Source organism: Homo sapiens, chromosome 3 (genome assembly GCF_000001405.40).
Source record: "Homo sapiens chromosome 3, GRCh38.p14 Primary Assembly".
NCBI classification, from domain to species: Eukaryota; Metazoa; Chordata; class Mammalia; order Primates; family Hominidae; genus Homo; species Homo sapiens.
In genome coordinates, this window is record NC_000003.12 from 51,227,244 (window position 1) to 51,254,337 (window position 27,094).

Below are 27,094 nucleotides of genomic sequence, written 5' to 3' on the forward strand. Positions count from 1 at the left end.
ACCAGGAAGATGACATCTTATTTTGTTTCTTTCTTCCAGGATTGCATCAGCTTGGGTTCAGGAGAGCCAAATAGGAGTTCCTACCACTCCTTTGTCCTCTACCACAGTAATAGTCCTCGCTGGGGAGAAATTATCAAATTGCCTATCCCCATTGACCGGTTCCGGGGCTCCCACCTGCGCTTTGAGTTCAGACATTGTTCCAGTGAGTTAGACTTCCCCCCCTCCACATTCCCTTGAGAATATAAATATAACTCTCTCCTCTCTTGAACAGAATTAAGTGGATTCTTATTTGGGCAAGAAAATGAAGAGTTAGGAATAAACAGCTACTCAGAGATGGGATGTCACCAGAGGCTGTTCTTGGGACTATAAAAGCAGTGATTCAAAACCACAAAGTCTTGTGTTGGCCCTTCCTGGTGTCTGACCTAGTGTCTGAAATTATTATCCATTGTCATTCTCCTTTGAGTATTCCTTTGTACCATTATTAAACTGCTTATTAAAGAGACCCTAGTTCATCAAGACCAGCAATTTAGTTTCTTTTTGGGTCTAGGTAGCCTATATGCCTTGAGTATGAATGGAAACTCATTTCAGCACATTTCTCATCATTCCTGCAGTCAGGTTGCCACCTAGTTAATGAAAGAGGCGAGGAACAAAAGAGCATAGGTGATAAGCACAAGGAGAATTTCCATGAGGAAGCAGAGTGGAAGGCAAAAAACAACTAATACTTGGCTCTGATTACAGCAAAGGACAAAGGGGAAAAGAAACTCTTTGGCTTTGCATTCTCAACCCTGATGCGTGATGATGGCACCACCCTCTCAGATGATATTCACGAGCTTTATGTGTACAAGGTATGAAGCCTAGCTGCCTTTCATCCCCACCCCTTACCTGCCCTGAGGCCACTCTCACACATGGTTCTCAGTTAGGTGGTTTTCACTGGGCAGGCCAGAAGACCAAGGGAAGTGCACTGGTGGGTGACAGTGGGACATCTGTGGGCAGGCTTCTGTCTTCTAAGTGCGGTGGCCGTCCTCCCACAAGTAACGCCAACAGGTTCTTTGTTTTCTACTTCTCACTTCACTGGATGGAAATCCATTACCAACCCCTCATTGCCATTGTGGTCTTGTTTAGTACATTCTTAGACCTGCTATTTGAGATCATGGTACTGTCAACTGTCATAGCATAGCTGCCACCCAAGGTTACTTGCACATCAGGTGGCAACCACATGCCCCACCATATTCTGTTTAAAAGGCACATGAGCTGTTCTAGGGAGTTTCTGAACAGAAAGTACTCTTCCAAGAGGACCTGAGGCCCAACGTTCAGCCTTAGGAAGATGAGAGCAAGTATCAGCCCAGAAATTCCTAGGACCTGGTTTTTGCATGTTGCATGGCTCAGGGGACATTTTTTTCTCCATTTTTGCCTACAGTGTGATGAGAATAGCACGTTTAATAACCATGCTCTGTACCTGGGCCTGCCCTGCTGCAAAGAGGACTACAATGGCTGCCCTAATATTCCTTCTAGCCTCATCTTCCAGCGCAGCACCAAAGAGTCTTTCTTCATCTCCACTCAGCTCTCCTCTACCAAACTCACCCAGAATGGTAGGTGATAATGCCTGCAGGGTGGTGCCCTCCACCCTCCTCCATTGTTCACTCCACACTACTAGCGCATGTGAAGGGAGAGATAAATTATTCCTTCTTGATGCCATAATAATGGGCTTCTTTTCATTTGAAGTTGAAGCGATCACTCAGCAATAGCAGCCTACAAGGTTTTTCATGGTTTTAGTAGCTCCACAGTACATCCAGAGTTTACAGATGAGTCTTTGGCCTTAGACTCAGTCTGTGGTGATGCTTGCAGCTAGTTCTGTTCCTCTAGATTCCACCTGTCCTTGACTGGGAGAGTCTGGGCCTTGCTTGACCTTAGAATAGCCAGGGTTTGGCCATGTGCGGTGGCTCATGCCTGTAATCCCAGCACTTTGGGAGGCCGAGGCGGACAGATCACTTGAGGTCAGGAGTTCAAGACCAGCCTGGCCAACATGGTGAAACACCATCTCTACTAAAAATACGAAAATTACCTGGACATGATGGCGCATGCCTGTAATCCCAGCTACTCAGGAGGCTGAGGCAGGAGAATCACTTGAATTCGGGAGGCGGAGGTTGCAGTGAGCTGAGATCATACAACCGCACTCCAGCCTGGGCAACAGAGTGAGACTCCGTCTAAAAAAAAAAAAAAGAATATCCAGGTTTCAAGGGTTCCTCATCTTTTGGGCTTGCTTTCTAGTGGACCTCCTAGCTCTGCTGAAGTGGAAAGCCTTCCCCGACCGGATCATGGATGTACTAGGGCGGCTGCGGCATGTCAGTGGGGAGGAAATTGTTAAGGTATGTCTTCCATATAATTTAAACATACTGCATGAGGAAGAATCTGGGCAGAAGACCTTACTTTGTCATGATTTTTGCCAATAACCGTCTGAGACTGTTTCATCAGATTTTTGTTGTTGTTGTTGTTGTTGTTAGCTTCCTTTTCCTCTTTTGGTATGCTTTTATTTTTTATTTTATTTTTAACTGACAAATAATAATTATTTATCTGTATGGGATACAATATGATGTTTTAACAGTGCAGAATATATGTTCACAAAGTAGAATGATTGCAGAATGACCACAACCTTCCCTCAGCCTCTGGTATTCCTCATTGCACGTTCTACTTCTATGTGTTCAGTTTTTTGTATTCCGCATATAAGTGTGATCGTGTGGTCTTTCTGTGCCTGACTTATTTCACTTAGCTTAATGTCCTCCAGTTGTATCCATGTTGTCTCAAATGACAAGATCTCTCCCATTTTAAGGCTGAATAGCATTCCATTGTGTTTATATGCCATGTTTTCTTTTTTTATTTTATAATTTCAGCTTTTATTTTAGATTTAGTGGGTACATGTGCAGGTTTGTTACGTAGATGCATTACATGATGCTGAGGTTTGAGATACAAATGATCTGATCACTGAGGTAGTAAGCATAGTACCCAGCAGTTTTTCAACCCTTGTCCCTGTCCCTCCCCACTCTAGTAGTCCCCAGTGTCTACTGTTACCATTTTTATGTCCACGAGTACCTAATGTTTAGCTCCCAGTTACAAGTGAGAACATGCAGTATTTGGTTTTTCTGTTCTTGCTAGTTTCTGTAGAATAATGAGCTCCAGCTGCATCCATGTTGCTGCAAAGGACATGATTTTCTTTTTTTTTATCTGCATGGTATTCCATGGTGTACATGTACCACATTGTCTTTTTGTTGTTGTTGTTGTTTTGTTTTGTTTTTTTGAGACAGAGTCTCACTCTGTCGCCAGGCTGGAGTGCAGTGGCGCAATCTCGGCTCACTGCAACCTCTGCCTGCCCGGTTCAAGCGATTCTCCTGCCTCAGGCTCCAGAGTAGCTAGGACTACAGGCGCGTGCCACCACGCCCAGCAAATTTTTGTATTTTTAATAGAGATGAGATTTCACCATGTTGGCCAGGATGGTCTCGATCCCTTGACCTCGTGATCCATCCGCCTTGGCCTCCCAAAGTGCTGGGATTACAGGCATGAGCCACCGCGCCCGACCTATGTACCACATTTCCTTTATCCAGTTCACTGTTGATGGGCACCTAGATTGATTCCATGTCTTATGTTATTGTGAATAATACCGTGATGAACATTTGAGTGCATGGGTCTTTTTGGTAGAATGATTTTTTTTTTTCTTTTGGATATATACACAGTAATAAGATTGCTGGGTCAAATGTTAGTTCTAAGTTTTTTTTATAAATCTCCAAACTGCTTCCCACAGGAGCTAAACTAATTTACATTCCCACCAACAAGGTATAAGAGTTCCCTTTTCTCTGCAGCTTCGCCAGCATCTGTTATTTTTTGACTTTTTTTTTTTTTTTTTTTTTTTTTGAGACGGAGTCTTGCCCTGTTGCTCAGGCTGGAGTGCAGTGGCATGATCTTGGCTCACTGCAACCTCCGCCTCCTGGGTTCAAGTGATTCTCCTACCTCAGCCTCCCAAGTAGCTGGTATTACAGGCATGTGCCACCATGCCTGGCTAATTTTCATATTTTTAGTAGAGACACGGTTTTGCCATGTTGGCCAGGCTGGTCTCCAACTCCTGACCTCAAGTGATCTGCCTGCCTCAGCCTCCCAAAGTGCTGGGATTACAGAAGTGAGCCACCACACCCAGGCTTTTTGACATTTTAATAGTCACTCTGACTGTTGTGAGATAGTATCTCATTGTGGTTTTGATTTGCAGTTCTCTGATGATTAGTGATAATCAGCATTTTTATATGTTTATTGGCCACTTTATTGTATGTCTTCTTTTGAGAAGTGTCTGTCCATGTCTTCTGCTCACTTTTTAATGGAATTGTTTTTTGCTTGTTGAGTTGTTTGAGTTCCTTATATATTCTGGATATTAGTCATTTGTCAGATGCATAGTTTGCAAATATTTTCTCCCATTCTGTAGGTTGTCTGTTTACTCTGTTGATAGTTTCTTTTGCTAGGCAGAAACTCTTTAGTTTAATTAAAGTCACGTTTGTCAATTGTTTTTGTTGCAATTGCTTTTGAGGACTTAGTGATAAGTGATTTCCTAAGGCCAATGTCCAGAATGGTGTTTCCTAGGTTTTCTTCTAGGATTCTTATAGTTTGAGATCTTACACTTAAATCTTGAATCCATCTTGAGTTCATTTTTGTTCATAGTGAAAGTAGGGGTCCAGTTTCATTCTTCAGCATGAATAATGTACTAGCTGCAGCATGTCAGTGGGAAGGAAATTGTTAATTTCCACACAATGTAAATATACTGCCTGAGGAAGAATGTTCTTACCTCTACCTTAACTGTTTCTAGCCAGCTATCTCAGCACCATTCATTTTTTGCCAATTGTTACACTCTCTTTTTTATGTTTTTTTTTATAGTTATTGGGATACAGGTGGTTTTTGGTTACATGGATGAGTTCTTTATTTGTGAATTCTGAGGTTTTGGTGCACCTATCACCCAAGCAGTGTACACTGTACCCAATATGTTGTCTTTTATCCCTCACTACCTTCCTAATGGTTGGTTCCATATCCTTGCAGATGCGAATTGTGCTGCCATAAATATGCATGTGCGTGTATCTTTTTCATGTAATGGCTTCTTTTCCTTTGGGTAGATTCCTAGTAGTGGAATTGCTGGATTGAATGGTAGATCTACTTTTAGTTCTTTAAGGAATCACCATACTGTTTTCCATAGTGGTTGTACTAATTTGCATTCCCACCAGCAGTATAAAAGTATTCCCTTTTCACCACATCCACACCCACTTCTGTTGTTTTTTGACTTTTCAATTATGGCCATTCTTGCAGGAGTAAGGTGGTATCTCATTGTGGTTTTAGTTTGTGTTTCCCTGATGATTAATGATGGTGAACATTTTTTCATATGTTTGTTGGCTGTTTGTATATCTTCTTTGGAGAAATGTCTATTCATGTCCTTTGTCCACTTTTTGATGGGATTATTTGTGGTTTTTTGCTGATTTGTTTGAGCTCCTTGTAGATTCTGGATACTAATCATTTGTTGCATGCATGGTTTGCAAATATTTTCTCACACTGTGAGGGTTGTCTGTTTACTCCACTGATATTTCTTTTGCTGCTAGCACCATTTATTGAGTATGGAGTCCTGTCCCTGTTGTTATTTTTGTTGATTTTGTCAAAGACCAGATGGCTGTAGGTAGGCCATTTTATTTTGAGGCTCTCTGTTGTGTTCCATTGGTCTGTGTGTCTTTTTTTATACCAGTATGATGCATTTTTGGTACTGTAGCCTTGTAGTATAGTTTGAAATGGGGTGATGTGATGCCTGCAGCTTTGTTCTTTTTGCCAAGGCTTGCTTTGGCTATTTGGACTCTTTTTCAGTTCTGTATTAATTTTAGAATAGTTTCTTCTAATTCTGGGAAAAATTATGTTGGTAGTTTGATAGGAATAGTGTTGAATCTATAGATTGCTTTGGGCAGTATGGCCATTTTAACAATATCGATTCTTCCAACCCATGAGCACGGAAGGTTTTTCCATTTGTTTGTGTCATTTATTATTTCTTTTAGCAGTATTCTTTCTTTCTATCTATCTATCTATCTATCTATCTATCTATCTATCTATCTATTTATTTATTTATTTATTTATTTGAGATGGAGTCTTCCTCTGTTGCCCAGGCTGGAGTACAATGGCGTGATCTCGGCTCACTGCAACCTCTGCCTCCCAGATTCAAGTGATTCTCCTGCCTCAGTCTCCCAAGTAGCTGGGATTACAGGCATGTGCCACCACGCCTGGCTAATTTTTTTTGTATTTTTAGTAGAGACAAGGTTTCACCGTGTTAGTCAGGCTGGTCTTGAACTCCTGACCTAAAGTGATCCTCCCATCTCGGCCTCCCAAAGTGCTGGGATTTCAGGCCTGAGCCACCACGCCCATCCTCTTTCAGCAGTACTCTGTAATTATGCTTGTAGAGGTCTTTCACCACTTTGGTTAGATGTATTCCTAGGTATTTTTTGTGTATGGCTACTGTAAACGCAATTGCATTCTTGATTTGGCTTTCAGCTTGAACGTTGTTGGTGTAGAGAAAAGCTACTGGCTTTTTTAACATATACCACATTTTCTTAATCCATTCATCTGCTGATCAACACCTAGATTGTTTCCATATCTTAGCTATTAACAATTTTGCAGTGAACATGGAAGTGCAGACCTCTCCCATGTTCTGAAGATGTCCAAGACATCTTCAACATACTGATTTCAATTTCTTTGGACATATACCCAGTAGTGGGATTGCTGGCTTATATGGTAATACTATTTTTAGTTTTCTGAGAAACCTCTATACTGTTTTCCATAATGGCTGTATTAATTTACATTCTCATCAACAGTGCATAAGAATTCCTTTTTCTCCACATCCTCACCAACACTTGTTATGTTTTATCTTTTGGTAATAGCTCTCCCAACTGGGATGAGGTGACATCTCATTGTGGTTTCAATTTGCATTTCCCTGATGATTAGTGATGATGAGCATTTTTTCATATATTTGTTGGCCATTTGTGTATCTTCTTTTGAGAAATGTCTACTTAGGTCCTTTTTCCCATCTTTTTGATTGCGTTGTTTTCTTGCTAGTGAGTTGTTTGAGTTCCTTATACATTTTGGATATTAGTTCCTTATCAGAGATACATGGTTTGGAAATATTTTCTCCCATTCCATGAGTTGTCTGTTTCCTGTATCAGTTTTTGTTTTTGTTGCCTTTGCTTTGGGGGTCATACTCAAGGAATCATACTTTGGGATTTTTTTGTTAGCTCCTTTTTTAAAAAGGTATATAGCATATCAGTTTATTAACTTTTAAAAACTATATTTAAGCCTGATATCTTTCTGGCTCTACTCTCCTGATTTTAAGAACTCTAAATACTGCTCATTAACTTGTACCTGCTGATTTTGTCTAGTCTCTCACTTGGAGTCCATAATACCTTCCTTCCTTACCCCTATGTTAACTGCCTTCTCCAAGTACCTTTGTGACATTTCCTATCTAATGGCTTTAGCAGGCTGACATCAACACTGCCAGTCCCCAGTTGCCTTCATAGGGCTTTTCTGGGCAGAGTGTTTCCCCTTAGCTCAATAAAAACCCCAGGCACTTCCTGGTGGTGAAAGCCCATCAGGTGAATCCTACACAGTGGACTGAATTCTACTGAAGAAAATGGAAGTATTTTTGGTTATCAGTAAGAGTAATGGAATGTAGGCTAGAGATTAAATCTGGAGAAGGCATCCTGTCCATAATGAACATTCTTAGCTTTGCCATCACAAGCGTCAAATGAATTAGCACAAATGCACCACCTAACTTTGCTTTCACAGCTCCATTAACTCAATAATACACAACACAGTGTTTCCAAGTCAGGAACAGTTTTAAAGTCTGTGTACCACTGTGTACTTTCATGAAGTTGATGTATGAATTTTGTTTTAATTATGTGATCAGATTATCATAAAAATTTTTTAACTCTTCAAAGCAATCTAATGCTAGTTTTGAAACTTAAGATAAATTCATACTCATATTTTCCTTCTAAGAATATTGAAAATATCAACCAGTAAACGAGGTATTAAGAAGTCTGTTGTCTTTTCAAGGGTGAGCTTTTATATTCCTGAGAAGAGAACATCCTACCAGCATATCTAGTTTTAGCATCAATAATTTGTCTCCAGCTAGCTAGAAGACAATGTAAAGAGAATGTGATAGCATTTTGAAATATTTTTTACTTCTTATTGGAAGATTTCAAGCATATGCAGAAGTATACAGAATAGTATAAAGAACCTTAGATGTATCTCTGACCCAACCCCAAAGACCATTAACCCATGGCCAGTCTTGACCCATCATTATTACCCCTATCTACACCTTCTACCTCATATTTTTCAGAAATGAATTGTAAACATTGTATCTTTTAAACTGGAGGAAGGATAGACTTGATTTTTGAAGGCTGCAAGTGTCCATCAATATTTATTATTCTCTTCCTTTGTTTTTGCATCTCAGAAATAGGCACATGTTGAAACAACAACAAAAATACTGCCACATTTTTTACCCCCATTGACAGCCCTCATTGACTGCATTCTCCATTCTTCTGTAATACTAATTCTTAGACCAAAAAATAGTGTCTGTAGGTAAAGCCTAACTTGCCACACCCTTATCAAATATACTCTATATTGTTAGGCCACAGTAGAGAGCAAGAGACTACTGAACTTTTGGGGATACCAGTAAGCTCTTTTTCTCAAAATAAATTTGGCATCAGTATCACTTAGATTGTTTTTATATCAAAATTGCTATTCTGCATAGGTGTCCTATGGTTTTTAGGGCATTGCCCTTTCCTTAGAAATGTATCACTCACCCAACAGGAAGAGCCTCTCTAAGTCTTTCTTGGGGCCCTTTGGGCTATAAGCCAACACCTCAAGTGCACCTAGTTATCACTTAGCTGGGTGGAGGGTCAGGGTACTAGTACGATGATTTTTAAGTGGTATTTTGAGATCCTAAGAGATCTTTCACTTTTTTATTGGAAGTTAAATTCATTGATTTATGGAAGTTTGTGCGTGTAAGGTCCTGAGACCTGAGCCCTCTGCTTTTTATGTTGTTTTAGTTTCTGCAGGACATCTTAGATACACTCTTTGTGATTTTGGATGATAATACAGAGAAGTACGGCCTGTTGGTTTTTCAGTCTCTGGTAAGTCACCTTCCTGACTCTTTACTTTTATTAATTATTCCTGTCATATATTTCAGAAAATTTAAGGGAAGCAATTTATTAGAGTGAATCAGCACAAGATATAGATGTTTCCAATAGAAAAGGGACTAAGGACTGTCACCCAAGGAAGACCAAGCAACCAACCAGGCAGATCAAACTTGAAGAATCCAACACAATCAAGTCCAGACCTTGACTTTATAGTTTCTGGATCTTCCATCTCATCACTATTGCAGTATGCCTGGCCCATGAAATAGTGACCTCCATGAGGTCAGAAACCCAGAGAGTAATACAAGAAATCAGATGGCTCATTTTTTCACTTACAAAGTAGGATATAACCATCATGAAAAGCAGAGACTTACCCATGCTGGTCTCTAGAGACCTGTGCAGGTCCAGAATCTATGCAGTTGTTTCAGAACTAGAGTCTCAGAAGGTTGGTTAATGAAAATGGACAGTGATTTGAATGTTTAGTGCATTTTGCCTAATATATCCAGTCCCACAGAGAGCCATACATTCAAGAAGAGTCAGATACTCTCATAGATAAGGAGCAGAGGTGAGAGTTGCAATGAGTACTTGCATAGTTTGCCCCTCCGGCTCTTCTTCTTCCTAATTTGCCTGTCCACCAGCCCCATTTCTGAAGGATACAGAGTTTCATAGGCTGATTTGGCTCAGAGGACAAGCTTTTTTTCCTCTCTTTTCCACGTTTTTGGGAATACCTTATTGTTTATGCCATCTACACGCATATTGTTTTGCCTTTCCCTGATCTGTATTGTACCACCCAGCATTATTGTGAAGGGAGAGGCTCACAGTAAATACAGGAAGAGACTGATGAGCCCGGGTCTGAATTAGGAGGCTGGGGTGTTAGAGAAAAGACAAGACAGAAATACAGACACAGAATGGAAATCTTACATTCACTACCCATGGGGAATGCTAGAGGACAGCACTGACAATTTGCCATTATTTGGAGAAGGAAGACTCTGTTTCCTGCTGGGGATAGATCTGAGGCCTCCAGTGAACCCTGATGGCTTACTCTCCATATCTCCCAGGTGTTCATCATCAACCTGCTCCGAGACATCAAGTATTTTCACTTTCGACCTGTGATGGACACGTATATCCAGAAGCACTTTGCTGGAGCTCTGGCATACAAGTAAGTTCCATTTGGTATCATCATTAGGACTCGTGTTTGAGTAGAAATATAGGCTTTAAAAAAGTTTAGCTGCAACCAGCATTTAAAAAGTTCAGCTGACTTTTTAAAAATTTTATATTTTTAATTGTGATAAAATACACATAACACAAAATTGACCATCTTAACCATTTTCTGAGTGTAGGGTTCAGTGACTTTAAGTACATTCACATCATTGTACAACCATCACCAGAACTCTGTCCATCTCCAAAACTCTTTTCCTGTTACAAAACTGAAATATTGTAATCATTAAAAATAACTCCCCATTCTCCCCTCCCCTATCCCCTGGCACCCACCATTCTATTCTACTTTCTGTCTCTATGAATTTGACTACTTTAGGTACCTCATGTAAGTGTAATCACAATATTTGTCCTTTTGTGAGTAGCTTATTTCACTCAGCATAATGTCTTCAAGGCTCATCCATGTTTTAGCATGGGTCAGAATTTCATTCCTTTCAAAGACTGAATAATGTTCCATTGTATATATTTACCACTTTTTTTTTTTTTTTTTTTTTTTTTTTTTTTTTTTTTTTTTGAGATGGAGTCTTGCTCTGTCACCCAGGCTGGAGTGCAGTGGCGCAATCTTGGCTCACTGCAAGCTCTGCTTCCCGGGTTCACACCATTCTCCTGCCTCAGCCTCCCGAGTAGCTGGGACTGCAGGTGCCCACCACCACACCTGGCTAATTTTTTGTATTTTTAGTAGAGTCAGGGTTTCACCATGTTAGCCAGGATGGTCTTGATCTCCTGACCTCATGATCCACCTGCCTTGGCCTCCCAAAGTGCTGGGATTACAGGCGTGAGCCACCGCGCCTGGCTGGGTTTTTTTGTTTGTTTTTTAATTTTATTTTAAGTTCAGGGGTACATGTGCAGGTTTGTTATATAGGTAAATTTGTGTCATGGAGGTTTGTTGTATAGATTATTTCATCACCTAGGTATTAAGCCTAGTACCCATTAGTTATTTTTCCTGATCCTCTCCGTCCTCCTACCCTCTACCCTCCGATAGGCCTCGGTGTGTTTTGTTCCCCTCTATGTGTCCATGCATTCTCGTCATGTAGCTCCCACTTATAAGTGAGAACATGTGGTATTTGGTTTTCTGTTGCTGTGTTAGTTTGCTAAGAATAATGGTCTCCAGCTTCATCCATGTTTCTGCAAAAGACATGATCTCATTCTTTTTTATGGCTGCATAGTATTCCATGGTATATATGTACCACATTTTCTTTATCCAGTCTACCATTGATAGGCATTTAGCTTGATTCCATGTCTTTGCCATTGTGAACAGTGCTGCAATGAACCTATGCAAGCATGTGTCTTTATGGTAGAACAATTTATATTACTTTGGGTTTATATACAGTATTGGGATTGCTGGGTCAAATGGTAGTTCTGTTTTTACGTCTTTGAGAAATTGCCACACCGCTTTCCACAATGGTTGAACTAATTTACACTACCATCAACAGTATATAAGCATTCATTTTTCTCTGCAACCTTGCCAGCATCTGTTATTTTTTGACATTTTAATCATAGCCATTCTGGCCGGTGCAGGATGGTATCTTGTACCCCAAAGATAAAGCGTACTTTTTATTTATTTATTTATTTATTTATTTAGAGACAGAGTCTCACTCTGTCACCTAGGATGGAGTAGAGTGGCGCAATCTTGGCTCACTGTAACCTGCGCCTCCTGGGTTCAAGCGATCCTTCTGCCTCAGCCTCCTGAGTAGCTGGGACTACAGGCATATGCCACCACACCTGGCTAATTTTTGTATTTTGAGTAGAGACGGGGTTTCACCATGTTGGCCAGGCTGGTCTCCATCTCCTGACCTGCCTCGGCCTCCCAAAGTGCTGGGATTACAGGTGTAAGCCACTGTGCCCAGCCACTGGCCTCATTTCTTTGTGCATTTGGTACAATTTGGCTGTGAATCTGTCTGGTCCTGGGTTTTTTTTTTGTTTGTTTGTTTTTTGTTTTTTTTGTTTTTTTTTAGTTGGTAGGCTGTTACTGACTCAAGTTCACAGTTTATTATTGGTCTGTTTGGGGATTCCATTTCTTCTTGGTTCACTCTTGGGAGAGTGTTTGTGTCCATGAATTTATTTATTTCTTCTAGATTTTTTAGTTTATGTGCATAAAGATGTTCATAATATTCTCTGATGGTTATTTGTATTTCTGTGGGGTCAAAGGGAATATCCCCCTTTTCATTTCTGATTGTATTTATTAGAATATTCTCTTTTTTCTTCTTTATTAGTCTAGCTAGCAGTCTATTAATTGTTTTCAAAAAATCATCCCGGATTCATTGATCTTTTGAATGGTTTTTTGTGTCTCAATCTCCTTTGGTTCAATTCTGATTTTGGTTATTTCATGTCTTCTGCTAGTTTAGGAATTGGTTTGCTCTTAGTTCTCTAGTTCTTTTAGTTGTGATGTTAGGCTGTTAAATTGAGATCTTTCTAACTTTTTGATTTGGGCATTCAGTGCTATAAATTTCCCTCTTAACAATGCCTTACCTGTGTCCCAGAGATTCTGGTATGCTGTATCTTTATTCTAATTAGTTTCAAAGAACTTGTTGATTTCTGCCTTAATTTCATTATTTACCCAGAAGTTATTCAGGAGCAAGTTATTGCATTTCCATGTAATTTTATGGTTTTCAGTGAATTTCTTAGTCTTGATTTCTAATTTGATTGTGCTGTGGTCTGAGAGAGTATGATTTCAGTGATTTTGCTGAGGAGTGTTTTGTGTCCCAATTATGTGGTCAATTTTAGACTATGTGCCATGTGGCAATGAGACAAATGTATGTTCTCTTGCTTTTGAGTGGAGTGTTCTGTAGATGTCTATCAGGTCCATTTGATCTAGTGCTGAGTTAGGTCCTGATATCTTTGTTAATTTTCTGTCTTGATGATCTGTCTAATACTGTCAGTGTGGTGTTGAAGTCTCCCTCTATTATTGTGTAGGAGTCTTAAGTCTCTTTGAAGGTCTCTAAGAACTTCCTTTATGAATCTAGGTGCTCCTGTGTTGGGTGCATATATACTTAAGAGAGTTAGGTCTTCTTGTTGAACTCTTCAACATTATGTAATACCCTTCTTTGTCTTTTGCAGTCTTTGTTGGTTTGAAATCTGTTTTGTTTGAAATCAGGATTGCAACCCCTACTATTTTTCTGTTTTCCATTTGCTGGGTAGATTTTTCTCCATCCCTTTATTTTGAGCCTATCTGTGTCACTGCATGTGAGATGGGTCTCTTTGAAGACAGCTTATGAATGGGTCTTGGTTCTTTATCCAGCTTGCCACTCTATGCCTTTTAATTGGGAAATTTTATCCATTTATATTCAAAGTTAGTATTGATATGTGTGGATTTGATCCTGTTATGATGTTAGCTGGTTATTTTGCAGACTTGTTTATGTAGTTGCTTTATAATGTCACTGGTCTGTGTACTTGTGTGTTTTTGTCATGGCTGGTATTGGTCTTTTCTTTGCGTATTTTGTGCTTCCTTCGGGAGCTCTTGTAAGGCAGGTCTGGTGGTAACAAATTCCTTCAGCATTTGGTTGTCTGAAAAGGATCTTATTTCTCCTTCGCTTATGAAGCTTAGTTTGGCTGGATATGAAATTATTTATTGGAATTTCTTTTCTTTAAGAATGTTGAATATTGGCCCCCAGTCTCTTCTTGCTTGTTTCTACTGAGAGATCCACTTTTAGTCTCATGAGCTTCCCTTTGTAGGTGACCTGATCCTTCTCTCTAAATGCCTTTAACATTTTTTCTTTCATTTTGACCTTGGAGAATCTGATGAATATGTGTCTTGGAGATGATCTTCTTGTGAAGTATTTTACTGGGGTTCTCCGCATTTCCTGAATTTGAATGTTGCCCTTTCTAGCTAGGTTGGGGAAGTCTTCATGGATGATATCCTGAAATATGTTTTCTAAGTTGGTTCCATTCTCCCCGTCTATTTTAAGGACACCAGTGAGTTGTAGATTTGGTCTCTTTACATAATCCCATATTCCTCGGAGGTTTTGTTCATTCATTTTCATTCTTTTTTCTCTGTTCTTGTCTGACTGTCATATTTCAGAAGGCCAGTCTTCAAGCTCTGAGATTCTTTCCCGAACTTGGTCTATTCTGCTGTTAATACTTGCAATTGCATTCTGAAATTCCTGTAGAGTGTTTTTCAGCTCTGTCAGGTCAGTTACATTCTTTTCTATACTAACTATTTTGTCTGTCAGCTCCTGCATTGTTTTATCATGATTTTTAGCTTCCTTGGATTAGCTTTCAGTGTACTCCTGTAGCTCAATGATCATCATTCCTATCCATATTCTGAATTCTATTTCTGTCATTTCAGCCCTCTCAGCCCAGTTCAGAACCCTTGCTGGAGAGGTGATGCAGTCATTTGGAGGAAAGAAGGCTTTTTGAGTTGCCAGGGTCCTTGTGCTGGTTCTTTTTCATCTTTGTGGGCTTGTCACTCTTCAGTCTTCGAGGTTGCTGTCCTTTGGATGGTTTTTTTTTTCCCTTTTATCCTGTTTGATGACCTTGAATGTTTGATTATGGTATAAAGTGGATTCAGCCAGCTGGATTCATTTCTGGAACATTTTAGGGGACAGTGCTCAGCTCTCAACTCCTGGACTGTGCACTCTAACACAACTTGGGGACTGGTATTGGGCCCCAGCTTTGTTCTCTGGCTCCTTAAGGTTAGGAATCCACTGTACTGGGTAGGCCGAGATGCTCCCAGACTGCTGGCCATTCCACTTTGGCTGGGTGGTATAAGCCAAAGTGGTTCATAGTGCAGTGACAGCTGGATCTATCCCTGTTCACATGTGCCAGCAGCAGTGGGTACAGCAGCTGTGGCAGAGTCACCTGTGGCAGAGTGCTAGCAGATGCCAGTGTCAGGGTACCTGCCTCCCTGCAGGCATTGACCAAGGTGGCAGAGGCAACATGGCTGGGCAGAGCTGGGGCCCCTACTGGCAACTTTTGTGCAGTCACGGTAGAGATGGTGATGGCTCAGGGTTGGGACACTGAAGGTCTGGGTGCCTCCTCTGTGTCCTGCAAGCAGAAGTAGTCACTCAGGATAGGGGAGGATCTGCTATTCTCTGCACAGTGTTAGAGCAAGGGTGGGGCACTGACAAGGACGGGGCTGGCTGGCTCTGTGCCCACCAAGGCTCCATCTGCAATGGTGGTGGGAGCAGGGGACAGGCTGCACTCTTACATGCTAGCCCACTTTTTAATGGAAAAAGGAAAGCAAAACCTGCCAGTACAGACACAAGCCAGTAAAGCATTGTGGAGAGTTGCAGTGGGTCCTGGGGAAGCTGCAGTATGGGGAGGGGGCATGCAGGCTAGTGCGTGGCATAGGGTCGCACCAGTGGAGCTCTCCCCCATCAAGCATGGTCTGTGTAGAAGCTATGACATGGGGCCCCCAGGTCACCTGAGGCTGCCCTGCAAGCAGGTATGGCCAGACTTGGGCCCTAGGAGAGGCCAGCCAACCAAGGGGTGCTCAGGATAGACCAGCCCCATCTGATGGGCAAGACCGCCCTGCAGAGTTCAGGACCAACAGTTCCCCTAGGACTGAAGTCTCCCACGGGAGCAAGTCAAGCCTAGGGGGATGGCCATCCCTGGCTGTGCACCACTACAGACACTCCCATACCAAACCCCCTGGGCTCCACATCATCTGGTTTGCTACCCCTACCACTTCTCTAAGCAGCTCTCCCTGCCAACTCAAGTATCTGTGGTGGTTGAGGGCTCTCCTTCTGCCAGGGTTCCAGAGGCCATTAGTAAGAGCAAGTTGCTTCTTAATAGTTCACTCACCTTTCCTCCAGAGCCATCGAGGGCCAGGCTATTTTCTGGGTTTTTTTTTTTATAGTGGCCACCCTAATGGGTGTAAAGTGATATTTCTTTATGTTTTTTATTTGTGTTTCCCTAATTATCTTCCTTTGAGAAATGTGTATTCAAGTCCTTCACCCATTTTTTAAAAAGAGGTTATTTGTTTTATTGTTGAGTTATAGGAGTTCTTTATATATTCTGGATATTAACCCCTTATCAGTTATATGATTTATAAATATTTTTCCCAGTCACTTGGTTGCCTTTTCACTCTGTTGATTGTGTCCTTTGAGACACAGAAGTTTTTAAAGTTTTGATGTAGTCCACCTTATTTTTTGTTGTTGCCTGTGCTTTTGGTGTCATTTTCAAGAAATCATTGCCTAATATGAAGCTTTCACCTATCTTTTCTTTTAAGTGTTTTATAATTCTAGCCCTTAGATTTAGGTCTTTGATCCACTTTGAGTTAATTTTTGTATATTGTATAAGATAAGTGTCTGACTTCATTCTTTTTGCATGTGGATATCCAATTTCCCAGTTCCATTTATTGAAGCTGTCTTTTCCCCCACTGAATGGTCTTGGCATTCTTGTCAAAAGGGTGATACCCTGGCCCCTTGACCATATATGTGAGGCTTTACTTCTGGCCTATCTTTTCCCATTGTTTTATAAATATGTCTTTATGCTAATTCAACATTGTTTTGATTGCTGTAGCTTTGTGGTAAGTTTTGAAATCAGGAAGTATGAGACTGCAATTTTGTTCCTCTTTTTCAAGATGCTTTTGGCTATTCCAGGTCACTTGTGATTCCATATTAGGATGGATTTTTTTTTTTCTGCAAAAAATGCCATTGGAATTGTGTTAGGGATTGCATTGAATCTGTAGATCACTTTGGGTAGCATTTACATCTTTAATAACAATATTAAACCTTCTAATTAATGAATATAAGACGTATTTCCATTTATTGCTATCTTTTATTTCTTTAAGCAACATGTATAAAACTTTTGTCTCCTTAGTTAAATGTATCCTAAGTATTTTATTCTTTTTGATGCTATTGTAAATGGAATTGTCTTAATTTCATTTTCAGAATGTTCATTTTTAGCATATAGAAATGCATTTGATTTTTTGTGTTGATTTTGTGTCCTGCAACTTTACTGAATTTATTTATTAGTTCTAACAGGTTTTTTTGGGGATTCTTTAGGGTTTTCTACATATAAGATTATATCATTTGAAAACAGAGCATTTTATTCTTCCTTTTCAATTTGAATGTCTTTGATTTCTTTTTCTTGCCTAATTTCACTGGCTAGGATTTCCAGTGCTATGTTGAATAAAAGTGTCAAAAGTGAGGATTCTTATCTTATTTCTGATCTTAGAGGAAATGCTTTCAGTCTTTTACCATTATGTTTGATGTTAGCTGTGGGCTTTCAGCTGATATTTCAGACTATAGTTTGTTACATAGTTGCTATACTTCTACTTCTAGGAAATGATGGTAAAGCTGCTAAAGATGTCTTGGTTTTTCCATGAGAAACATTCGAATAGCTAAAATAGCACCCACAAAAAAATGTCAAAGAATATAAAAAGACAGTCCATAAAAGAGATTATATAACTAATAAACAAATATGAGAAACACAGGTTATCTAAGACCATTAAAGCAAGCCAGGCATGGTGGCTCATGCCTGTAATCCCAGCACTTTGGGAGGCTGAGGCGGGTGGATCACTTGAGGCTAGGAGTTCGAGACCAGCCTGGCCAACATGGTGAAATCCCATCTCTACTAAAAATACAAAAATCAGCCATGCATGGTGCTGCATCCTCCCCTTCCTGTAATCCCGGCTGCTTGGGAGGCTGAGACACAAGAATTGCTTGGACCCTGGAGGTGGAGGTTACAATGAGCCGAGGTCGCGTCACTGCACTCCAGTCTGAGCGATAGAGCAAGTGTCTGTCTCAAAGAAAAAAATAAATAAGACCATTAAAGCAATAAGAAATCACCATTTTCTTTCTTTTTTTTTTTTTTTTTTGAGACGGAGTCTTGCACTGTCGCCTGGGCTGGAGTGCAATGGCCTGATCTTGGCTCACTGCAACCTCCGCCTCCTGGGTTCACACGATTCTTCTGCCTCAGCTTCCCAAGTAGCCGGGATTATAGGCGCACACCACCACACCCAGCTAATTTTTTTGTATTTTTAGTAGAGATGGGGTTTCACTATGTTGGCCAGACTGGTCTCAAACTCCTGACCTCGTGATCCACCCGCCTCAGCCTCCTAGAGTGCTGAGATTACAGGCGTGAGCCACCATGCCCAGCCAGAAATCACCATTTTCTTATACAGAATTAGCATAATTATTGAAAATATAAATAAAACCCAGTGGTGGCAAGGCTGTGGAGTCACTGAAACTCTGATACTTTGATGTCACTTTGGAGAGTGGACTGTTCTATGTGCTTTATATGCGTCTTTCTATTAGTATTTGTGATAACTTTGAGATGTACTATTTCCCCCATATTTTCATTGAAAAGAACGTGACACAGGGGATTAAATAACTCATTCAAGGATACAAAACTAGATATTGATAGGCCCCAGATGTGACCATGGCGTATACTCCTGACCTCTGTGCTTTGTTGCCATATAAATATGCAGACCTTCTGACCCAGTAATCTCATTCCATTCAGATGACTGAGTCCTAAGGAAATAAGATAGATGAGATAGAGCAGGGGTTGTGAACAGGGACTCCTGGGACTGCATACTTTTATTCAGAATCTACTATTTACTGGCTGGTGTCAGATGTTCTGAAAACCTAGCAATTTAAGACAAAACAAAAATACACATCCAGTCCAGGTCTTTAGGAAAACTTTTTTTTTTTTTTTTTTCAGATGAGATATTGTTCTGTTGCCCAAGCTGGAGTGCAGTGGCGCAGTCATGGCTCACTGCAGCCTTTACCTCCTGGGCTCAGTTGATCCACCTGATTCAGCCTCCTGAGTAGCTGGGACTACAGGCACGCACCACCATGCCTGGCTAATTTTTCTATTTTTTTGTAGAGATAAGGTTTCGCCATGTTCCCCAGACTTGGGTGGAAACTTTCTTGTAATCAAAAAGAAATGTATGTCAGAGAGAGTGGGAAAAAGTTATTTTAGTTGCTGATTAAAATGTGGCAACTCCTATGGACAAAGAGTGTTGTTTGTTCTCAGGTGACCTGAATAGTCCAAAGCTGTAATGGATCTATCACTCCTTTCTAGCTCATCAGCAGAATATTATTTCCTATTTGCCTAATTCAGGGCTACAGATGTTTCAAGCTGCATTACTTTTGAATTAAAGTGGGGTTTCTGGAACTGTTCTCTTTCCCAGGGAGCTCATCCGCTGTTTGAAGTGGTATATGGACTGCTCAGCAGAACTGATTCGACAGGACCACATTCAAGAAGCTATGCGGGTAATGTACTAACCTCTCCATACATAAGAGACCCACTCATGCAATTATTTGTGAGTAATCTCAGTGATACAATGTGCAGGACAAATGTAGACATCGCAGTACCTGGCCTGCTTTCAGGAATGACTGTCTTGATCCACATAATTTCTCTTTCCTTACCTTGATTTTGCCCCAGAAAGCTTTTATTCCTGATAATTTTAAAGAAGGAGGGAGAGATGATATGCACATGGCTCCTGGCTATCCTCCCCTGCCTGATTGTTACCCATAGTATCAGTCCTTTCTACCACTGGCTAAAGTATAGTAACTCCTTCTAAGCCAATGTTGGTGGCAACGTTGATTGAATTAGGATCCTCTAATAGTATTCTCTTTTTTGGTAGTTACTAAGCATAGATTTTTTGAACTGTTTTAAGTAAAAAGAGCTGAGTGGATGCACTGTATGTGGGTTTGTTCAGAAGAAGGGAATCTTAAAACTGTGGCCTTAGGAAGAACCTGTGGTCTTCCATGGTCGTGACCATTGTCAGCATCCCTGCTTGGACAGGTTCCCTGACAAGGCAGCCCTTTGTATTGCTGGGTAGCTCCAATTGACAGGGGACTGTTCTCATTTTGAGTTAACTCCACTGTCTGGTAACTTCTTTTCATGACTACTGTTCTGCTGTTAAAACAAACAAACAAACAAACAAAAAACAGTTTTGCTTTATTTCTGTCCTCTTTTAATATCACATCACCTGCAACAAGTACTGGACCTGTGTTTTTGTCCTTTTCCACATGTTTAACAGGTAACAGAATGTTTTCTCAAGCATTATCAGACTGAAGGGGCAAAATCAAATCATAGATTTGCATTTAGTCTTCCTCTTCTTTGCACATTCCGTAAAAATCTGAGGCTGCAAGGCTCATTTCTGTCCTCTTTCATACAAATGCCTACTGAGCATCTGTCCTAGGGGCTAAGATGCAACGATGAATAAGACCAGCCCATCTTCTTGAAGAACATATCCGCAGTATCCTAAGGGGAGGCACGAACACAAGTGTAGGGCAGGGTGCTGAGGCATGTGAGGAAAGGGCCTCGGTTCTCTTCTTCTCAGAACCCTAGCACCTGTCAGGTGCCTAACACAATATTTGAGTGGATAAAAGTTGAGTTAAATGCAAAAGATTCTATATGAGCCTGAAAAATAATTGCTTAAGGATACCGGAGAAGGCAGCGCAGAAGTTGTTTTCTCCTAAAAATCATTCGTTTAATCATTCAGTCAATGTTGCTTGATACCTACCATGCTTCAGACACTGTTCTAACCACTGGAGATTCAGCAGGGGCCCAAACAAAAATGGCTAGGGCTTCATAGTACTTTCATTCAAGTGGGGAAACACATACAATATATGTAAAACAGATAAATACATGTATTTATTCTAATCAATGTTGACACCAACATTGGCTTACAAAGTCAGTTTAAAAAACAAAACAGGACAGAGTGAGACTCCATCTTAAAAAGAAAAAGAGCTGATTCTCCTGCCTCAGCCTGCGGAGTGCCTGCAATTGCAGGCGCGCGCTGCCACGCCTGACTGGTTTTCGTATTTTTTTGGTGGAGACGGGGTTTCGCTGTGTTGGCCGGGCTGGTCTCCAGCTCCTAACCGCGAGTGATCCACCAGCCTCGGCCTCCTGAGGTGCTGGGATTGCAGACGGAGTGTGGTTCACTCAGTGCTCAATGGCGCCCAGGCTGGAGTGCAGTGGCGTGATCTCGGCTCGCTACAACCTCCACCTCCCAGCCGCCTGCCTTGGCCTCCCAAAGTGCCGAGATTGCAGCCTCTGCCCGGCCGCCACCCCGTCTGGGCAGTGAGGAGCGTCTCCGCCTGGCCGCCCATCGTCTGGGATGTGAGGAGCCCCTCTGCCTGGCTGCCCAGTCTGGAAAGTGAGGAGCGTCTCCGCCCGGCCGCCATCCCATCTAGGAAGTGAGGAGCGCCTCTTCCCGGCCGCCATCACATCTAGGAAGTGAGGAGCGTCTTTGCCCGGCCGCCCATCGTCTGGGATGTGGAGAGCACCTCTGCCCCGCCGCCCCGTCTGGGATGTGAGGAGCGCCTCTGCCCGGCCGCCACCCCGTCTGGGAGGTGAGGAGCGTCTCTGCCCGGCCGCCCCATCTGAGAAGTGAGGAGACCCTCCGCCCGGCAGCCGCCCCTATGAGAAGTGAGGAGCCTCTCCGCCCGGCAGCCGCCCCGTCTGAGAAGTGAGGAGCCTCTCCGCCCGGCAGCCACCCCGTCTGGGAAGTGAGGAGCGTCTCCGCCCGGCAGCCACCCCGTCCGGGAGGGAGGTGGGGGGGGTCAGCCCCCCGCCAGGCCAGCCGCCCCGTCCGGGAGGGAGGTGGGGGGGTCAGCCCCCCGCCAGGCCAGCTGCCCCATCCGGCAGGGAGGTGGGGGGGTCAGCCCCCCGCCCGGCCAGCCGCCCTGTCCGGGAGGTGAGGGGCGCCTCTGCCCGGCCGCCCCTACTGGGAAGTGAGGAGCCCCTCTGCCCAACCAGCCGCCCCGTCCGGGAGGGAGGTGGGGGGTTCAGGCCCCGCCCGGCCAGCCGCCCAGTCCGGGAGGGAGGTGGGGGGGTTAGCCCCCCGCCCGGCCAGCCGCCCCGTCCGGGAGGTGAGGGGCGCCTCTGTCCGGCCGCCCCTACTGGGAAGTGAGGAGCCCCTCTGCCCAGCCAGCCGCCCCATCCGGGAGGGAGGTGGGGGGGTCAGCTCCCCGCCCGGCCAGCCGCCCGGTCCGGGAGGGAGGTGGGCGGGTCAGCCCCCCGCCCGGCCAGCCGCCCAGTCCGGGAGGGAGGTGGGGGGGTCAGCCCCCCGCCCGGCCAGCCGTCCCGTCCGGGAGGGAGGTGGGGGGGGGTCAGCCCCCCACCCGGCCAGCCGCCCCGTCCGGGAGGTGAGGGGCGCCTCTGCCCGGCCGCCCCTACTGGAAAGTGAGGAGCCCCTCTGCCCGGCCACCACCCCGTCTGGGAGGTGTGCCCAACAGCTCATTGAGAACGGGCCAGGATGACAATGGCGGCTTTGTGGAATAGAAAGGGGGGAAAGGTGGGGAAAAGATTGAGAAATCGGATGGTTGCCGTGTCTGTGTAGAAAGAAGTAGACATGGGAGACTTTTCATTTTGTTCTGTACTAAGAAAAATTCTTCTGCCTTGGGATCCTGTTGATCTGTGACCTTACCCCCAACCCTGTGCTCTCTGAAACGTGCTGTGTCCACTCAGAGTTAAATGGATTAAGGGCGGTGCAAGATGTGCTTTGTTAAACAGATGCTTGAAGGCAGCATGCTCATTAAGAGTCATCACCACTCCCTAATCTCAAGTACCCAGGGACACAAATGCTGCGGAAGGCCGCAGGGTCCTCTGCCTAGGAAAACCAGAGACCTTTGTTCACTTGTTTATCTGCTGACCTTCCCTCCACTATTGTCCTATGACCCTGCCAAATCCCCCTCTGTGAGAAACACCCAAGAATGATCAATAAAAAAAAAAAAAAAAATTAAAAAAAATAATAAAAAATAAAAAACAAAACAAAACAAAACAAAACTTGGCTGGCCGTGGCAGCTCACGCCTATAATCCTAGCACTTGGGGAGGCCAAGGCGGGCGGATCACCTGAGGTCAGGAGTTCAAGACCAGCCTGGCCAACATGATGAAACCCCATCTCTACTGAAAATACATAAATTAACCGGGCATGGTGGCATGCACCTGTAATCCCAACTACTCACGAGGCTGTGGCTCAAGAATTGCTTGAACCTGGGAGGCGGAGGTTGCAGTGAACCAAGATTGTGCCGCTGCACTCCAGCCTGGGTGACAGAGCAAAACTCCATCTCAAGAGAAAACAAACAAACAAACAAACTCGATGAGTACTATGAAGGAAATAAACAAGATTATGGAACAGACTGGCTGGAAAGGAGGGTTTACTTCAGATCAAGGATTTGGGAAAGCTTCTCTGAGGAGGTGATCTCTGAGCTGAAGTCAGTGTTAACAGTTAGGGAGTGAGCACTCCAGACTGAGGAAACAGAATATTTAAAAGCCTAGATGGGAAAGGGCTTGGGTTTTGTTTTTGCTTTTGTTTTTGTTTTTTTATTATTGTTATTATACTTAAAGTTCTAGGATACATGTGCACAACGTGCAGGTTTGTTACATATGTATCTATATGCCATGTTGATGTGCTGCTCCCATTAACTCGTCATTTACATTAGGTGTATCTCCTAATGCTATCCCTCCCCCATCCCCCAACCCCACAACAGGCTCCAGTGTGTGATGTTCCCCACCCTGTGTCCAAGTGTTCTCATTGTTCAGTTCTCACCTATGAGTGAGAACATGTGGTGTTTGGTTTTCTGTCCTTGCGATAGTTTGCTCAGAATGATGGATTCCAGCTTCATCCATATCCCTACAAAGGACATGAACTCATCCTTTTTATGGCTGCATAGTATTCCATGGTGTATATGTGCCACATTTTCTTAATCCAGTCTATCATTGATGGACATTTGGGTTGGTTCCAAGTCTTTGCTATTGTGAATAGTGCCGCAGTAAACATACATGTGCATGTGTCTTTATAGCAGCATGATTTATAATCCTTTGGGTATATACCCAGTAATGGGATGGCTTGGGCAAATGGTATTTCTAGTTCTAGATCCTTGAGGAATCACCACACTGTCTTTTCCACAATGGTTGGACTAATTTACACTTCCACCAACAGTGTAAAAGCGTTCCTATTTCTCCACATCCTCTCCAGCACCTGTTGTTTCCTGACTTTTTAATGATCGCCATTCCAACTAGTGTGAGATGGTATCTCATTGTGGTTTTGATTTGCATTTCTCTAATGACCCGTGATGATGAGCTTTTTTTCATATGTTGGTTGGCTGCATAAATGTCTTCTTTTGAGAAGTGTCTGTTCATATCCTTCGCCCACTTTTTGATGGTTTTTTCTTGTAAATTTGTTTAAGTTCTTTGTAGATTTTGGATATTAGCCGTTTGTCAGATGGATAGATGGCAAAAATTTTCTCCTATTCTATAGCTTGCCTGTTCACTGTGATGATAGCTTCTTTTGCTGTGCAGAAGCTCTTCAGTTTAATTAGATCCCATTGGTCAATTTTGGCTTTTGTTGCCATTACTTTTGGTGTTTTAGACATGAAGTGCTTGCCCATGTCTATGTCCTGAATGGTATTGCCTAGGTTTTCTTCTAGGGTTTTTATGGTTTTAGGTCTAACATTTAAGTCTTTAATCCATCATGAATTAATTTTTGTATAAGGTGTAAGGAAGGGATCCAGTTTCAGCTTTCTACATATGGCTAGCCAGTTTTCCCAGCACCATTTATTAAATAGGGAATCCTTTCCCCATTTCTTGTTTTTGTCAGGTTTGTCAAAGATCAGATGGTTGTAGATGTGTGGTATTATTTCTCAGGGCTCTATTCTGTTCCATTGGTCTGTATCTCTGTTTTGGTACCAGTACCATGCTGTTTTGGTTACTGTAGCCTTGTAGTATAGTTTGAAGTCAGGTAGCGTGATGCCTCCAGCTTTGTTCTTTTGGCTTAGAATTGTCTTGGCAATGCAGGCTCTTTCTTGGTTCCATATGAACTTTAAAGTAGTTTTTTCCAATTCTGTGAACAAAGTCATTGGTGGCTTTATGGGGATGGCATTGAATCTATAAATTACCTTGGGCAGTATGGCCATTTTCACAGTATTGATTCTTCCTATCCATGAGCATGGAATGTTCTTCCATTTATTTGTGTCCTCTTTTATTTTGTTGAGCAGTGGTTTGTAGTTCTCCTTGAAGAGGTCCTTCGCATCCCTTGCTAGTTGGATTCCTAAGTATTTTATTCTCTTTGAAGCAGTTGTGAATGGGAGTTCATTCCTGATTTGGCTCTCTGTTTGTCTGTTATTGGTGTATAGGAATGCTTGTGATTTTTGCACATTGATTTTGTATCCTGAGACTTTGCTGAAGTTGCTTATCAGCTTAAGTAGATTTTGGGCTGAGACAGTGGGGTTTTCCAAATATACAATCATGTCGTCTGCAAACAGGGACAATTTGACTTCCTCTTTTCCTAATTCAATACCCTTTATTTCTTTCTCTTGCCTGACTGCCCTGGCCAGAACTTTCAACACTATGTTGAATAGGAGTGGTGAGAGAGGGCATCCCTGTCTTGTGCCAGTTTTCAAAGGGAATGCTTCTGGGTTTTGCCCATTCAGTATGATATTGGCTGTGGGTTTGTCATAAGTAGCTCGTATTATTTTGAGATACGTCCCATCAATACCTAGTTTGTTGAGAGTTTTTAGCGTGAAGGGCTGTTGAATTTTGTCAAAGGACTTTTCTGCATCTATTGAGATAATCATGTGGTTTTTTGTCTTTGGTTCTGTTTATATAATGGATTATGTTTATTGGTTTGCATATGTTGAACCAGCCTTGCATCAAAGGATGAAGCCCACTTGATCTTGGCAGATAAGCTTTTTGATGTGCTACTGGATTCAGTTTGCTAGTATTTTACTGAGGATTTTCGCATCAATGTTCATCAGGGATATTGGTCTAAAATTCTCTTTTTTTTGTTGTGTCTCTGCCAGGCTTTGGTATCAGGATGATGCTGGTCTCATAAAACGAGTTAGGGAGGATTCCCTCTTTTTCTATTGATTGGAATAGTTTCAGAAGGAGTGGTACCAGCTCCTCTTTATACCTCTGGTAGAATTCGGCTGTGAATACGTCTAGTCCTGGACTTTTTTTGGTTGGTAGGCTATTAAATACTACCTCATTTACAGAGCCTATTATTGGTCTATTCAGGGATTCAACTTCTTCCTGGTTTAGTCTTGGGGGGTTGTGTGTGTCCAGGAATTTATCCATTTCTTCTAGATTTTCTAGTTTATTTGCGTAGAGGTGCTTCTGGTATTCTCTGATGGTAGTCTGTAGTTCGTGGGATCGATGGCGATATCACCTTTGTCATTTTTTATTGCATCTATTTGATTCTTCTCTCTTTTCTTCTTTATTAGTCTTGCTAGTGGTCCATCAATTTTGTTGATCTTTTCAAAAAACCAGCTCCTGGATTCATTGATTTTTTGAAGGGTTTTTTGTGTCTCTATCTCCTTCAGTTCTGCTCTTAGTTATTTCTTGCCTTCTGCTAGCTTTTTTAGAGAAGCAAGTGTTTGCTCTTGCTTCTCTAGTTCTTTTAATTGTGATGTTCGGGTGTCAATTTTAGATCTTTCCTGTTTTCTCCTGTGGGCATTTGGTGCTATAAATTTCCCTCTGCACACTGCTTTAAATGTGTCTCAGAGGTTCTGTTCTGTTGTATCTTTGTTCTCATTGGTTTCGAAGAACATCTTTATTTCTGCCTTCATTTTGTTATGTACCCAGTAGTCATTCAGGAGTAGGTTGTTCAGTTTCCATGTAGTTGAGCAGTTTTGAGTGACTTTCTTAGTCGTGAGTTCTAGTTTGATTGCACTGTGGTCTGAGAGACAGTTTGTTAAAATTTCTGTTCTTTTACATTTGCTGAGGAGTGCTTTACTTCCAACTATGTGGTCAATTTTGGAATAAGTGCAATGTGGTGCTGAGAAGAATGTAT

General features: G+C 42.3%; 1 protein-coding gene across 25 annotated transcripts in view; it reads left to right on the forward strand.

Annotated features, from left to right (window-relative positions):
* Positions 1–27,094, forward strand: part of DOCK3 (dedicator of cytokinesis 3) — a 709,272-nt gene that overhangs the window by 552,317 nt on the left and 129,861 nt on the right. For all 25 annotated transcript variants that reach the window (XM_005264914.4, NM_004947.5, XM_006713010.4 and 22 more), the window contains 7 exons: positions 40–202; positions 739–845; positions 1,418–1,589; positions 2,269–2,366; positions 9,102–9,185; positions 10,247–10,347; positions 19,483–19,564. In XM_005264914.4, the coding sequence (XP_005264971.1) occupies positions 40–202; positions 739–845; positions 1,418–1,589; positions 2,269–2,366; positions 9,102–9,185; positions 10,247–10,347; positions 19,483–19,564 (807 nt within the window). The remainder of the gene's footprint in view (positions 1–39; positions 203–738; positions 846–1,417; positions 1,590–2,268; positions 2,367–9,101; positions 9,186–10,246; positions 10,348–19,482; positions 19,565–27,094) is intronic.